Raw genomic sequence first — 16,069 nt, forward strand, 5'->3', positions numbered from 1 at the left:
AGTCCCGATGCTGACATAATCTGTGTGTGAGCTCGCCGATGATGAGCCTCCCAAGTCTCAGCTCCCTGGAGTCACTGTGTCCCCATCTTCTTCCACCCTACAGGACACCTGTTTGATCTGAGCTCCTTAAGTGGCAGGGCGGGATTCACAGCTGCTTACAGCGAGAAGGGGTTGGTTTACATGAGCATCTGTGGGGAGAATGAAAACTGCCCTCCTGGCGTGGGTGAGTGCTGTGGTCTCTCGTGTGTTGTCTGACTCTCCCGTCCTCTGGGGTTGTCCTCAGTCTCTTTGCATGCTAATGGCAAAAAGGATGAGCAGAGCCAGGAAGCTGAGACGCTTTTGTCTCCTGCAGCAGTCACCCCATGTGGGGGACACATGGTCATGTGATGGAATGAACATTCAATGTAAAACAATGGTTAAAGCCGGATTGGACACTTGAAGTTATAAGTGTTGGCTATGAAATTGATGGTCCTGACTTGCGAAAGTTCTCATCAGAAAATTGGCCATCGAGTCTGTGATTGTGTTTTCTCCGCCTTTCCCTTGTGGTGCAGGGGCCTGCTTTGGACAGACCAGGATTAGCGTGGGCAAGGCCAACAAGAGGCTGAGATACGTGGACCAGGTCCTGCAGCTGGTGTACAAGGATGGGTCCCCTTGTCCCTCCAAATCCGGCCTGAGCTATAAGAGTGTGATCAGTTTCGTGTGCAGGCCTGAGGCCAGGCCAACCAATAGGCCCATGCTCATCTCCCTGGACAAGCAGACATGCACTCTCTTCTTCTCCTGGCACACGCCGCTGGCCTGCGAGCAAGCGGTGAGTTTTCAGATGGGCACGGGAGAAGTGCATGTCCAGTGCCTGGCTGCACCCGGGCCCCTTCGTCAGGTTCACTTGCCCACTAGTAGATGCCCAGCTGAACTGTCCACTCCTGATCACCCCAATAATAAAGTTGACTGGAAGTGCCCAGTGCTATGTAATGAAGCATTTTGACACCTTTCTACTTTTTTTGTTGTTGTTATTCAGCTTTTAAATTCTTATGGATGACCTAGTGGTGATTAGGAAAATTTTTTTGTAGACTCAAAGCAGTCTTTCCTACTTAACAGACCGAATGTTCCGTGAGGAATGGAAGCTCTATTGTTGACTTGTCTCCCCTTATTCATCGCACTGGTGGTTATGAGGCTTATGATGAGAGTGAGGATGATGCCTCCGATACCAACCCTGATTTCTACATCAATATTTGTCAGCCACTAAATCCCATGCACGGAGTGCCCTGTCCTGCCGGAGCCGCTGTGTGCAAAGTTCCTATTGATGGTCCCCCCATAGTAAGTATGACAAATCCAAGGGTGGAGATAATTTTTGCAAGACTTTTAGTGATAACCTTTGCGTTGTTTCTTGCCTTCAGTGGGGAGTTGCTCAAGCATAAAAAAAATGGAGAAAGTAAGTGGGACTGTGTATGTTCTGGGTCCGCTACTGGAAGATTAAAGGTTTGCACATTGAACTGTTCGCTGATGATGGTAGCCAGCCAGTCTTTGAGCATGGGAGGTAACACGAATATGTGTGTAGGGACTCTACTTGTCATGAGCCTCAGGGTTGACCCAAATCAAGAAGTTTTTAGGTGAAGTGACAGGAAAGCACATTGCCCTAGCCTGGTTTCTTTGTGTGAAATGCCTTGTCTTCTGTAGTTAAAACGCTTGCGAAATGCAAACAGTTTCTTTGGCAAGGAGTTATAATTAAGGGCAAGAGTACGTTTGCTAATAGCTAAATATTTTGCCTTAAAAGCTTTGGTTTTATGCATTAAAAAATTATTTTGTAGAGATGGGAGTATTGCTATGTCACCCAGCCAGGCTGGCCTCAGGCTCCTGGCCTTAAGTGATCCTCCTGAAGTTCTGGGATTACAGGCATGAGCCACAGTGCCTGGCTTACTAGCATGTTTTAATAGAAATTTGGATCTTTAAAAATTGTCTCCATGAGTTATATTCATATTTTGTCAAATCCTTGGTATGTTTTAATATTTGAATGTATCTCACAAGTCGTCTGTATTTCTGTCTGTATCATCTATTATGCTTTAAAGATGGATCCTCTTGTAACATATCTAGATGTCCTTTAGAAAGATGGCCATTATATGTGGCAGTGATATGGGGAGATGTCAGGAGTGTGTAAGGAGATCGGCCACAGCCTGAATTAGCACAGCTCCAGCTCTGTGTGAGATGGAGGCCTGGACAAGCTGAGTCTCCCCAGGAAGCTCTTTGGTAGCGTCCTTTCTGACAGCGCAGACCGGGGATCCTCGATCGGGAATCATTGCCTGGCCACCCATTGTCAAATGTTAAAAGATGTAGAAAGTTATTTAACTGGAGAAGGTGTGGTGCCACGTGGTCTGAACGTGCCCCACAGTGGTGAATGAAGAGCACTGTAGCTGAGAACAAAATCATGGGGAAGCTGCTTATACACACACTCACACCCACATGCACACACACGTGCATGCACACACACATTCATCACATACACAGTTCCTGGCCATTCACCTTTATTTACTTTTTAAAAATAAAAAAAGAGTTTTTTGTTTTTTTTCTCATAATACTCAGACTGGTCTTTTATTTATTTGTTTATTCACTCAAAAATATCTCTTGGGCAGCCGCTGTGTGCCAGGTGCTGTGCTAAGCAATGAAAATGAACAGTGAACACCTCCTGTCCCCTCTCCCAAGGACATAGCCAGTGGTTACTGCTGGGCCACGTCAGTGGGCAGTCCCGGGGCAGCACTGGGCAGTGAGGGTGGCAGGTCAGCATGGAGGTTCCGGCCTTCCCCTGTCAGGTGGTGGGAGGACCGTGTAGCATCCTTAGAGGTTTTTCAGGTTCCGGGCTTCCCTCATCAGCTGATGGGAGGACTCTGTAGTCTCCTTGATGTGACTGGAGAGATTCCTATTGCTTAGGATCTTTGAAAATTGAAGATACCTAGAAATAGAACCAACCTTAGAACTAACGTTAGGATCAAAACGATAACCACTGACATACGGAGGTTACACAGCATCTGTCAAGCCTTCCAACTGGAGTTGGTATAAACCCAGTTTCTTTAGATGCTGCTCATTCTCAGAACCTATGAGGTCTGGTTTTTGCAATTCTGTATCAATTCTTAATTCCACTAACCTTGGGAATGGTTAATTTCCTGAAATACTGTTTGCCCTCGCTCTTTGTTTAGGATATCGGCCGGGTAGCAGGACCACCAATACTCAATCCAATAGCAAATGAGATTTACTTGAATTTTGAAAGCAGTACTCCTTGCTTAGCGGACAAGCATTTCAACTACACCTCGCTCATCGCGTTTCACTGTAAGAGAGGTGTGAGCATGGTAAGTGTGGGCCTGTGACGATCTAGATGCTCAACTGCGGGTTAGTGAGCCAAGGCTAGACAACCAGAAAGTGCGTGTCAGGTCCAAGGATACTCTTATTCAAAATGTCTGCCTTGGGTAAGATGGTACGCTAGTAGTGTGTCTGAATAATTTAAACCACTGATTGAGGGCTGAGTGAGCTCCCCCGCAGTTAACAGCATATAGAAACTTGCTGTAATTTAAAAACATAGAACACAAGTATAGAAATGACATTCAGCTTTGACTGCTGATGCATAAAAGTGTCATAACTTTTGTTTTTACTTTAACAATTACTGATTTTATTCTAACTGGGAAGTCAGAAAGACATTTGGGCAGCTATAGTCACTCAGGACATAGCCCAGAAGTTAACAAGTAACAAAAGACCCCTGGAATCAGAATAGCTACAACAAAGTGGCACCTTTTACTTATAATGAGGTATTGACTTCCATTTTATGTGCATTAAAAAAAGAATACCAGCTTCCATTATAATGAGTTCGGTATTGGTTATAGTCTTTGAGGACGTTTTCTTTTGATCCCTGCTCTGTGAGATAAATTGGTAGATTATGGCCCCTATTCCACAGGGACTCAGAGTAGCTCTGCAGGGGCAGAGCCAGGTCCCAGCTACTGCACAGGGGAACAGCTCTTTGCTCCAGGGACACAGCACCACAGCCTGTCGTCTGTGCTTCTGAAATCTCTGAAGCTCTGAAAACTTGGGGCTCCTTTGACATGAATGGACTGAGGCTATTTATGGTGTGGATTTGTCCCACCTAATGTGGATATTGATACATCTAGCTGCAGAAATATTAATATGTTTGATCACAGGATCTGGGGGTGTGAGAATTGCCTCTTAAAATCCTAATAAAGATGTTGGATTCCAAGGCTCATCTGACCCCTAGGAGTTCAGGTGATGGATTAGGATCTGTTGGGTGTCTTGTAATTCTGATAAAGACATCCTTCTGATGTTTGGGCCTGGAGCAGGTTTGTAAAGGGACTGTTAGACATGGGTGTGCTGACAGTGACAGAAAGTGACCTGGCAGCCGCCTGACCAGTGAGAGAGACAGTATTTGAGAAGGAGGAGGAAACAGTCCTGCTGTTTGGGGCTACTCCACAGGGGCCCAGAGCACCTCAAAGCCCTTGGATGTGTTCATGAATCTTAGAGTGTAGTGACAGTCCTAGTTAGTAAGGAAAGGCAGAGCTGTATTCAGTCCACCCATTGCATCTGTTTATAAGCGTATTGGCATATTTTTATAGGGGTGTCTGGGTGTGCCTCTGTAGATGCACACAGCATGGGGCAACGTGGATTTTGCCTTGCGGGGGGCTTCTGCATTAAGTTCTTCGTTCTTTAAAGGACAGTCTTCACTTCTAAGACCCACCTCATCATGAGTGATGCTTTGTTATCTACACCACCAGCTAAAGAGTGTGGAACTATGCCTTGCTTTGACTCTGCTGCCAACGTGACAAATCGAATTAGCTAATGTGATTTTAGTTAATTCTCAGCAGCTGCACATTGAGGGTGATTAGTGTTTACTTGATTTTAGAAATGAAGCATCTTATGCTGAATGTGTGTTCTAGCGTTCCAGAAAGATTTTTAGAAGATTTTTCTTCCCCAGCAGTTTTCATTTTCAATGGAAGTACTTTTACCACTGAATCATAGGGAAAAAGATGCTTAACATTAATTACAAATGGAATTCCTGAGAGCTGCCTCATCTTTTTTTGTTGCTGTTGAATGAGGGAGGGAATAAATAAAGTGATTCTACAATACTTGGCCTATGGAATATCTGGCCATGTGGCATCTTGCCCCTTGAATAAATGTCTCCCGTGTCTAGAGACAGTAGATTGGAGCACTTGTGAGGCAGGGTCTCAGTTTCACAGACCTCTCTCATGACATATAAGCCCTCCCCCTTTCTTCCTTTGAACCCGTAGCACAGAACATTGAGGCTTTCTCTCTAAGTAGAAGACAAGACCTGGATTCAGCCAGGGAGCTCACAGGATGTGTAGGGGGCAAGGGCAGGGTGATGTCTGTGCCTTGAAGATGGCATTGGGTCTTTCAGCTGCTGTTGTCTAGCATCCCTTCCCTCTGAGAGGCCGCTGTGGGTTATGCACAGCCCCTGTAGGGACGTGGTGTGTCACTGCTATCTATCCCTATGCCATGGGGTTTTTAAGACCCGTGCTCTTCCTGGCAACAGGGAACGCCTAAGCTGTTAAGGACCAGCGAGTGCGACTTTGTGTTCGAATGGGAGACTCCTGTCGTCTGTCCTGATGAAGTGAGGATGGATGGCTGTACCCTGACAGATGAGCAGCTCCTCTACAGCTTCAACTTGTCCAGCCTTTCCACGAGCACCTTTAAGGTAATGCGTTCACCCTGGGCGTTGCTGGTGCAGGTGTACCAGGTGCCAGGTGCTGTGAGGCTGCTGGGAGTGTTTTGGATAATGTGGTACCTGTGAGCTGAGAGGGTGTATGTGGCCACTGGGCAGCATCTTGGTGCTCTCGTAGGGCATGCCAGGTCTCAGGAAGGTTCTTGGATTGCGTGGCCAACTCAGCGCAGCTGACACTTGCGTTGTACCTCATGGCTCTGCACTTAACGCTTTTTGATGATAAGTAACCTCATGAGGCGGGTAGTGGGACCCTTTGTATCAGACAGAGGGCAGGTGGGGCAGCCCGGAGACATGAATGTAAGGTATCCATGGGGACAGGGCCAGCTCCTGGGTGGCTGAAATCTACAGGGATTTAATTCCTCCAACCTGGTTGAAGATGATCAAGGCAGTTGTTTGCTGATTGTGGCAGCTTTGGGAAGAGGGAGGTAGGAGGTGCCCTGGAATTGAGAGGCACTTGGGCATGTGCCTCCATGCCATGCCAGAGCCCTGGCGTGTGCTGATTCTTTGGGCTGCTGGTCTTACTGATGTGGTGTCGTGGTCACTGGTGCCTGGGGGCCCCTGACTCCCTAAGCCTAGATATCTAGATGTTACCATGCCAGTGCCTGGACTGGGGTACGGAACCCCAGCACCTGCTGTGGCACGGCGGCTGGTGAGTGATGAGCCTGGAGTTTTGGGCCCAGGTGTCAACACCCTGGCTCCTGTGATGGAGCCCTCTGCCTGGGTACAGGTCCTCCCGACAGGTGTGCAGTAGGTGTGAGCCTTCTGGGCGCTGGGTGGGCCAGGAGAGTCAGGTCCATGCTTCAGCGTGCAGCGTCGGCTCTGCTCATTCACTCACTTGGCCCGCACAATGTCTTATTACACAGGTGAGGGAGGTGGGGTGACCCCACTGCTGGGTCCCTTCTCACTGGGCTCTGACTGGAGACGACAGCCAGAGCAGTGGCTGGCTGGCAGGGGTGGCCGAGGCCCCCAGCAGGGAGCAGGAGGAGCAAGCAAGCTGGGCCTAGGGGTTGGGGGAGGCCCCCCAGGGAAAGCCTAGGGCCAAGGCGATTGCGTGGCTCTGATGCACACAGAGGAGTCTTTGCTCTTCCTCATGAACCTGCCTCCAGCATCAGCTGCAATAGTGGTTCTCTCTTCACTTTGAGACCTGGGTGCTGCCACTCTGCTGACGGCCACGCATGGTTTTTGTCCAGGTGACTCGCGACTCGCGCACCTACAGCGTTGGGGTGTGCACCTTTGCAGTCGGGCCAGAACAAGGAGGCTGTAAGGACGGAGGAGTCTGTCTGCTCTCAGGCACCAAGGGGGCATCCTTTGGACGGCTGCAATCAATGAAACTGGATTACAGGCACCAGGATGAAGCGGTCGTTTTAAGTTACGTGAATGGTGATCGTTGCCCTCCAGGTAAATATTTGCAATGAGGTAAATAAACTTCAAGCTCATAGTAAACTAGAAATTAGACATAGCAGCAGAAAGAAGCTGCGGAGTGGAGCTCCACGGTCCTATGAGTGCTGTAACCTTGGGCGTGAATGTGAGCTGTTCCTCTGTACACCCCCGGTGTGAATGCTGGTGTGTGAATCACGCTGTGTTCTCTCAGTTGCCTGGTGAGTTTTGGCAGGTGAATGCCGGTTGTCACGTAGGTGCTTTAGGATGGGCAGCTTCCTTAGGGACTGCTGCTGCATTCTGAGGTGATTGTGCCTGGCGAGGCACAGCTGCCACACTGATAATGTTCTTCTTCTTTCCAGAAACCGATGACGGCGTCCCCTGTGTCTTCCCCTTCATATTCAATGGGAAGAGCTACGAGGAGTGCATCATAGAGAGCAGGGCGAAGCTGTGGTGTAGCACAACTGCGGACTACGACAGAGACCACGAGTGGGGCTTCTGCAGACACTGTGAGTAGGACGGCTCCGCGTCCCCACATGGCCTGGGGCCTTGATACTGTCAAGGCTCGATTCACACTGAGACCTTTGTGGATGCCCCAGTCAGTGGCAGGAATTCTCTTGCATAAAATATTTTCTTACTCGGGCTGTTTCCCACAGAGAAACGTTTGAATTGCTCTGTGGGATTGCTGGGTAACCGTATCTACAGACCGTGGTAGAGCTGCCGTGAGATGCTGTGCTGGGTGGCTGGCTAGGCCCACTCACTAGCTGGAGGGCCTTGTGTCCACATACCAGGTTTTAGCCCTGGTGGTTCAGATTATGCCTCAGGAAAATGAATGTCTGCTATGGGTCTTCAGGATTCTGAAGCTAGTGAGGATTCCGGTAAACCAGGCGACTCATTTATTGACTTTCCGCCATGTGGCAGCCCAGGTGGGGATGGAGGTTTCTTGGTGAGCCACACTCAGTGCCTTGCCCCTGCGGTGCTCAGGAAGTTTCATGAGAGGAGCCAACTGCTGTGACTTGTGTCTACGGACCGTGAGATGAGGGAAATGCATGAAAAATTACTAATTTTTGGCCAGGCGCGGTGGCTCACGCCTGTAATCCCAGCACTTTGGGAGGCTGAGGCGGGTGGATCACGAGGTCAGGAGATTGAGACCATCCTGGCTAGCATGGTGAAACCCCGTCTCTACTAAAAATACAAAAAAAAAAAAAAATTAGCTGGGCGTGGTGGCGGGCGCCTGTAGTCCCAGCTACTGGGGAGGCTGAGGCAGGAGGATGGTGTGTACCCGGGAGGCGGAGCTTGCAGTGAGCCGAGATCATGCCACTTCACTCCAGCCTGGGTGACAGAGTGAGACTCGGTCTCAAAAAAAAAAAAAAGAAAAATTACTAATTTTCATAAATGTCCAGTATCGGGGGAACCAGCCCCCGATTTTTCAACGTAGGTTCTTTTCTATTTCCCTAAGTGTTGGCCGGTCTGAGAAATAAGGGGAAAGAGTACAAAAGAGAGAAATTTTAAAGCTGGTGTCCGGGGGAGACATTACATGTTGGCAGGTTCTGTGATGCCCCCGAGCCGCAAAACCAGCAAGTTTTTATTAGCAATTTTCAAAGGGGAGGGAGTGTACGAATAGGGTGTGGGTCATGGAGATCACATGCTTCAAGGATGACAAGAGGTCACAAGGCAGAAGGTCAGGGCAGGATCACAAGGTCAGCGCGAAACTAGAATCACTAAATAACTTCCATGTCCCACTGTGCACACATTGTGAGGGTTCAAGAGCAGAGAACCGGTTTAACTAGAATTCGCCAGGCTGGAATTTCCAAATCCTAGCAAGCCTGGGGGCGCTGCAGGAGGCCAGGGCGTGTTTCATCCCTTATCTGCAACTGCATAAGGCAGACACCCCTAGAGTGGCCATTTAAGAGGCGCCCCTGCCTTCCTCCCGGGAATGCATTCTTTTCCCAGGGCTGTTAATTATTAAAATTCCTTACTGGGGAAAGAATTCAGCGATATTTCTCTTACCCGTTTTCGGTAATAAGAGAAATATGGCTCTGTCCTCACCGGCCCACAGTCAGCCAGACTTTAAGGTTATCTCACTTGTTCCTTGAAAATCACTGTTATCCTGTTCTTAAGGTGCCCAGATTTCATATTGTTCAAACACACATGCTTTACGAACAATTTGTGCAGTTAATGCAATCATCACAGGGTCCTGAGGCGACATACATCCTCAGCTTACGAAGATGATGGGATTAAGAGATTAAAGTAAAGACAGGCATAGGAAATTATAATATTGATTGGGGAAGTGATAAATGTCCATGAAATCTTCACAATGTATATTCTTCTGTCACGGCTTCAGCAGGTCCCTCCGTTCATGGTCCCTGACTTCCCGCAATAGTCCAGGGACCAAAATGGGATGTATTAAGGAACCAAACGTGTTAAATTTACGAAGGATTGCTATAGCTTTGTTTTGAGGCTTATTTTGACAAAACGTTATTCCCTATTTTCTGAATCACACTCCTGTTTTCAAGTACTTGTAGGTATTACATTATTATCTTAAATTTTTTTTTTTTTTGAGATGGAGTTTTGCTCTTGTTGCCCAGGCTAGAGTGCAGTGGTGCAGTCTTGGCTCACTGCAAGCTCCACCTTCTGGTTTCAAGTGATACTCCTGCCTCAGCCTCCCAAGTAGCTGGGATTACAGGGGCCCGCCACCTCACCCAGCTAATTTTTTTGTATTTTTGGTAGAGATGGGATTTCACCATGTTGGTCAGGCTGGTCTCCAACTGCTGACCTCATGATCCGCCCACCTCGGCCTCCCAGAGTGCTGGGATTACAGGCGTGAGCCACCGCGCCCAGCTATCTTATTTTTTTTCGTGATCATTAGTAGATTGGTCAAATATTGAATACCCGTGTGAGGAATCACCTAGGGCTGTGGGGTTATTAAGAAGTACGATGAAAGGCTGTGTGCCAAGGAGCTGGGTCTATTTGGAGTCAGGATACACATGAGTGAATCAACATGAGATGTGGCCAGGGCAGCACGTGGTGTGTTGCCAGATGGCGGATGGAGTCTGCAGGTGCTCCTGAGGCAGCATGGGGAAGGCGTGCAGGAACGTGCCCTGGTGCAGGCCTTGGTCTGACATTCTCCCGCCTCTGCTCCCCTGAAGGGGTGGCCTGCCCCTCCACACTTGTGGGTATTTCTAGTCGGGTGGGATGAGAGACTGAGAAAAGAAATAAGACACAGAGACAAAGTATAGAGAAACAACAGTGGGCCCAGGGGACCGGCACTCAGCACACCAAGGACCTGCACCGGCATCGGCCTCTGAGTTCCCTCAGTTTTTATTGATTATTATTTTCATTATTTTAGCAAAAAAGGAATGTAGTAGGAGAGCAGGGTGATGATAAGGAGAAGGTCAACAAAAAACATGTGAGCAAAAGAATCTATATCATAATTAAGTTTAAGGGATGGTACTATGCCTGGACATGCACATAGGCCAAATTTATGTTTCTCCCCACCCAAACATCTCAGCGGAGTAAAGAATAACAAGGCAGCATTACTGCAAACGTGTCTCGCCTCCCGCCACAGGGCAGCTTTTCTCCTATCTCAGAGTTGAACAAATGTACAATCGGGTTTTATACCGAGACATTCAGTTCCCAGGGGCAAGCAGGAGAAAGTGGCCTTCCTCCATCTCACCTGCAAGAGGCTTTCCTCTTTTACTAATCCACCTCAGCACAGACCCTTTACGGGTGTCAGGCTGGGGGACAGTCAGGTCTTTCTCATCCCACGAGGCCATATTTCAGACTATCACATGGGGAGAAACCTTGGACAATACCGAGCTTTCCAGGGCAGAGGTCCCTGCGGCCTTCCGCAGTGCATTGTGCCCCTGGTTTATTGAGACTAGAGAATGGCAATGACTTTTACCGAGTATACTGCTTATAAACATTTTGTTAACAAGGCACGTCCTTCACAGCCCTAGATCCCTTAAACCTTAATTTTATACAACACATATTTTTGTGAGCTCCAAGTTGGGTCAAAGTGGCTGGGGCAGAGTGGCTGGGGCAAAGCTACAAATTAACAACATCTCAGCAAAGCAATTGTTTAAAGTACAGGGCTTTTTCAAAATGGAGTCTCTTATGTCTTCCCTTTCTGCATAGACACAGTGACAGTCTGATCTCTCTCTCTTTTCCCTACACTCCCCAGCAAACAGCTACCGGACATCCAGCATCATATTTAAGTGTGATGAAGATGAGGACATTGGGAGGCCACAAGTCTTCAGTGAAGTGCGTGGGTGTGATGTGACATTTGAGTGGAAAACAAAAGTTGTCTGCCCTCCAAAGAAGTTGGAGTGCAAATTCGTCCAGAAACACAAAACCTACGACCTGCGGCTGCTCTCCTCTCTCACCGGGTCCTGGTCCCTCGTCCACAACGGAGTCTCGTGAGTGCCTTCCCAGTCCACCCGCGGCGCCACACCCTCAGCATGTGAACTTCAGACTGCTTGACGATGGTTGGCTCTTTTGGGTTCTCAAGATGGGAATACTATGCCCATGTGAGGCTGATGGTGGTTGAGTTGTGACTGTTCCTGGAAGCAGCCCGCAGTGTCAATCCTGGCACAGAGGGTGGTTCTGAGGTCAGAGTGGGGGCAGGAGCTTTGGTGACTGGAAACGGAGCCTCTGGAGCTGGAAGAACCTGGGCGGACTGAGTTAGGCTGGGTTTGATTTGCGTTTGTGTGTAGCTCAGGTTGTGGGAGGCGTGTGGGTTTTCTCGGGTCTTTGGCAGGAGCTCCTTAGGCTTTGCTGGCTGGGGTCAGCCCATGGTCCTGACCACTCTGCGTGGGGAGCGCCCGCTTGGCCAGGTGCTCCTGCAAGACATCACCGAGGAGCAGGGGCATGGACTCACAGGGTTTAAGTGGTTCTAAGTGAGGTGGGAAACTTGCCGAGATTCTAGCCACTGCCTCTCCCAGCCCCGGAGCCCTTCTTTCTACTGTACCACGCTGTGTCCAGGGTGGCCGCAGGTGTGGACATTCCACTCCGCGTGTGTCTGGTTGGTGAGCTCCCTTCTTCAGTGAAGACTTCTTTTGCCCTTTTTTTTTTTAATTGGAAAAGCTATTTTAGTGCTACATTCAGTGATGGAATGGAGCCCTTAGTTATCAGAACCTTTCTCTGAAAGTAAAGTGAAGAGCCCTCCTGTGTCAGGGCAGAGACGTCACTTGCATGCCTTTTACCTGCCCCTTTGTGTCGTTTTCTAGGTACTATATAAATCTGTGCCAGAAAATATATAAAGGGCCCCTGGGCTGCTCTGAAAGGGCCAGCATTTGCAGAAGGACCACAACTGGTGACGTCCAGGTCCTGGGACTCGTTCACACGCAGAAGCTGGGTGTCATAGGTAAGGCCTGTGGGTCCTGGTCCTTGGTTCAAGGAGCAGCATCTGAACCGGGAAGGTGAGGGTGTTCTCAGGATGGCAAGGAGAGTGAGCATGTGCTTTGGTGGAAACCTCCAGATATGATTGCCTGTCACTGTCTCACAGGCATTTTGGCTCTCCTGGCACATTAAAATAAGTGCTGCTTTGTATTATATGAGACTGCAGGTCCTAGTCTGTGTGTTTAGAGGGGTTGGGCTATCTCGGGGAAGTGCGTCTATCCAGGAGGAAGTCTCAGAATGTTCAGAGTTCCTCTGAAGTTCACGTTCTAGCTGTAGATCAAGTGCCTAAATTGGCATAAACACACGTGTTTGTTTAGGAAAGCCAAACAGTTGCATGAGGACTTGGTACAGGTAGTTCAGAGGTACATCTTTGTAAAATGTCTTAACAATTTTTCACGGGAAATTGATCTTGTACTTGGTTGCTGAGTGAAAGTTGTTTTCTTTCATTATTTAAAGGAGGAAAATAGAGGTTTCTTAGTAAGAGCAATTAGGATTTGTTGGAGGGACCAGTAAAGGAAAATATTCACCTTTGCCTCTTAGGCTGGAGTGGGGTTTCCCGAGTTGTCCTGATTCAGCCACAGGGCTACTTCAGATTAGCTTGAGATGTTGAGATGGAGAAAGAGAATTCCGAGAAAACTACTGCCACCCTTGATAAAAATCACACACAGACTCTGCAGGTTGGTAGGTGGAGGGAGAGCTGCCATACAGGAAGTGGCGCCCAGACCGCCAGCCTGAGACCCGCCCTCCCTGGGAGGTTCTTACTGCTTTAGAGGTCAGTTATTGCTGCCACTCCCACACTGCCCCAGAAGGGGGAAGGAGGGAAGGTCGTGGAGGGTTGCTTTTTCCCCTGTAATCTTGCAGTATATATGGATATTCGACTAGTCTTTCCCCAACTTCAGCCAACTGAAATGACTAAAACACTTAAGGCTTCCTAAAAGTTTGAGGCAGGAGGAGCAAAAGAGAGTAGTGAACACAGGGGGTGACATGGAACTAGATCATCTGACTTCTTAGCGGTGACCTGCAGGCCACCTCCATTTGGAGAGCACCATTTTGCAAGTCCAGCCTCGCCTGGCGGGAAGAGCTCATGCTTTCTCCTGGGACTGGCATTTGGCATCCTGAGCACCTGCTGACCGGAACGAGAAATAATCTGGTGTCTGACACCAAATGAGCTCTTAATCTTTGGCGCCAACAAGACAGCATCTAAGGACAACCACGGTGCCCCCATTGTCCGCTTAGGGAATGGACCCCTGTTGGGGTGGGAGGTAGACTTTTTGTTTTCAGAACCAACATGTCTCAAGCAGCTGTGCTTAATATATGTTTAATCCCCATCCACTCCATGGGGCAGCGTTGTCATCCGTTTCACAGGCTGGGCCCCTGAGCCGAGGAGGTTGAGCCTCCTGCCCAATCAGTAAGGGCTGTCTACACTATTAAAGTTTTTTCTTGTTTGATCCCATATGCCAGAAGTTTTAAAAATTTTCCGTAAAACAGTGGAATTCTTTTTTCCAAAATTTTACACAGAAGCCCAATATTTAAAACAAATTCAGCTGGAGCAGCTTTGAGTTTGGGGCAGGCCTGAGAGCCTAGAGTCCCACCTCCCACCTCACCATCCAGCAGCCCTCAGTACCTCAGCCTGTGTCCTGTGGAAAACACTCGGGAAGTGAGCACTGTGCCCATGTTGCCTCCACCGCATGCCCCTGCCTGGAAGGATCTGTGTGTGTGTGGTCAGGGTGGAAGGCACCTGCTTCCCCTGGACACCCTGCGCCATGCCCTGGAGACATCATCTGTCCATGCAGCCAGGCTGGGCCCAGACCGTTCCCAGAACAGCCCCCTGCGCAGCCACAAGCAGCCTCTTGGTGGTGGCTTGAGAGTTGGAACCTGGCGGCCATGCTGCCCCAGTGATACCTGCAGCTTAAAGCATGTACTCACTTTTCTCTCAGACCCTGCGGGTTCGAGGGCTCAGGTTTTTCTTTTAATGGGTCACTTTTAAAAGCAGACAGTGCTCGACTGAAAGCTAGAAGACCCTAGAAAACCACAGTTGGTTTCTGTTTCTGGCTTTTCACTTTTTCCATTCTGTGCTCTGTTATTACTGGGAGGCTCACATGAGGGTACCTGTCAGGAAAGCACCTAATATGATAGAGAGAGTTTACACAATTGGAGCGATAATGAAGGCTGCCATTACCCGGGGTCCCACTGTTCACATGAGTTTGTTGGGCACTTTCTATACATGCCCGAAACCTGCCCACTTTGGACAGTGCCCTGTTCTGCAGGTAAGGCCCTCAAGGCTCAGAAGCTCAGCAACCCAGGGCCACAAAGTACGGGAGTAGGAGGGTTTGGGTTTGACCCCAGGTCTTAGGCTGTGACAATTGTGCAGTGGGCCAGGTGACCACCCCTGAGTGTGGGAATGCAAGAACAGGTCGATAAACCTTTAGGGAGCCCAAAATTTATTTTCTTCTGGCCTTTAAACCAGATTTTTACTCCTAACATTGAAGCTTTGTTTGTTTGTTTTTTGTTTTTGTTTTTGAGATGGAGTTTTGCTCTTGTTGCCCAGGCTGGAGTGCAATGGCGCCATCTCGATCTTGGCTCACTGCAACTTCTGCCTCCCGGGTTCAAGCAATTCTCCTGCCTCAGCCTCCTGAGTAGCTGGGATTACAGGCACCTGCCACCGTGCCCGAATAATTTTTGTATTTTTAGTAGAGACGGGGTTTCACCATGTTGGTCAGGCTGGTCTCTAACTCCTGACCTCAAGTGATCTGCCCTCTTTGGTTTCCCAAAGTGTTGGAATTGACAGGTGTGAGCCACTGCGCCTGCCTGAGGCTTTTTATAATGCACTAGAAATAATGTCAGTTCAATCATTTGTGTGTTTCAGGTGACAAAGTTGTTGTCACGTACTCCAAAGGTTATCCGTGTGGTGGAAATAAGACCGCATCCTCCGTGATAGAATTGACCTGTACAAAGACGGTGGGCAGACCTGCATTCAAGAGGTCAGGAGACTGGGGGCTCAGAGCGGGACTGTGCAGTGAGCATACTGGAGGGAATTCCTCCTTGGGGTTTTCATGGGCAGGTTTTGGCTGAGTCTTAGGAGCTCAGGGCCAGAGCCGCTGATTGTGCTGTATTGGGCGGGGCTGCTCCAGGCAGGGAAGACCTCCAGATACAGTGCTGAGACACTGTTACAAGACCAGTGCAACTTCTCTGGGCTAGCTTGTCTCTTGAACTAGGTTTAGCACTGGCTGAGCAGTACTTAACTGACCTCTACCTTTGAATGTCATAGTAGAAACAAAGGGGCGTGGATTTGTCCCACCCGAGGTGTTCAAGCAGCCTGGCTGGGACCCTCGAGCAGCTGGGACCTGCATCTGGACCTGGGATGTGCTTGGATTATATTCAAGTTTTCCCGGCCACATTGCATCTGGTGCCAGGGAGAGCTTGGCCAACAGAGGGTGCATGTGAGCTGCTGTTTGTGAACAGAACTGATTCCTTCCAGACGCTGAGTTTGGAAAAGGGGTGACTCAGAAATTGCCAAAGGATTTATGAATGTATGAGTCTGAGAAGCTTAAACAAAAATCTAAA

At 48.9% G+C, this 16,069-nt stretch overlaps 1 protein-coding gene across 1 annotated transcript in view, besides 1 other annotated feature; it reads left to right on the forward strand.

Moving 5' to 3' along the window:
• The window catches only part of IGF2R (insulin like growth factor 2 receptor), a 142,423-nt gene that overhangs the window by 103,580 nt on the left and 22,774 nt on the right, over window positions 1–16,069 (forward strand). The window contains exons 33-42 of the mRNA NM_000876.4: window positions 104–223; window positions 552–808; window positions 1,096–1,314; window positions 3,186–3,335; window positions 5,540–5,701; window positions 6,919–7,126; window positions 7,468–7,614; window positions 11,289–11,523; window positions 12,334–12,470; window positions 15,372–15,486. Of these exons, the coding sequence (NP_000867.3) occupies window positions 104–223; window positions 552–808; window positions 1,096–1,314; window positions 3,186–3,335; window positions 5,540–5,701; window positions 6,919–7,126; window positions 7,468–7,614; window positions 11,289–11,523; window positions 12,334–12,470; window positions 15,372–15,486 (1,750 nt within the window). The remainder of the gene's footprint in view (window positions 1–103; window positions 224–551; window positions 809–1,095; window positions 1,315–3,185; window positions 3,336–5,539; window positions 5,702–6,918; window positions 7,127–7,467; window positions 7,615–11,288; window positions 11,524–12,333; window positions 12,471–15,371; window positions 15,487–16,069) is intronic.
• Window positions 5,263–5,763: an enhancer, noted in NCBI's record as "H3K27ac hESC enhancer chr6:160498956-160499456 (GRCh37/hg19 assembly coordinates)". NCBI's record gives its function as "activates a minimal SCP1, AML or CMV promoter by ChIP-STARR-seq in primed H9 embryonic stem cells {active_cell/tissue: H9 hESC(primed)}" and the evidence as "EXISTENCE:reporter gene assay evidence [ECO:0000049][PMID:30033119]".

Source organism: Homo sapiens, chromosome 6 (assembly GCF_000001405.40).
Source record: "Homo sapiens chromosome 6, GRCh38.p14 Primary Assembly".
NCBI lineage: Eukaryota > Metazoa > Chordata > Mammalia > Primates > Hominidae > Homo > Homo sapiens.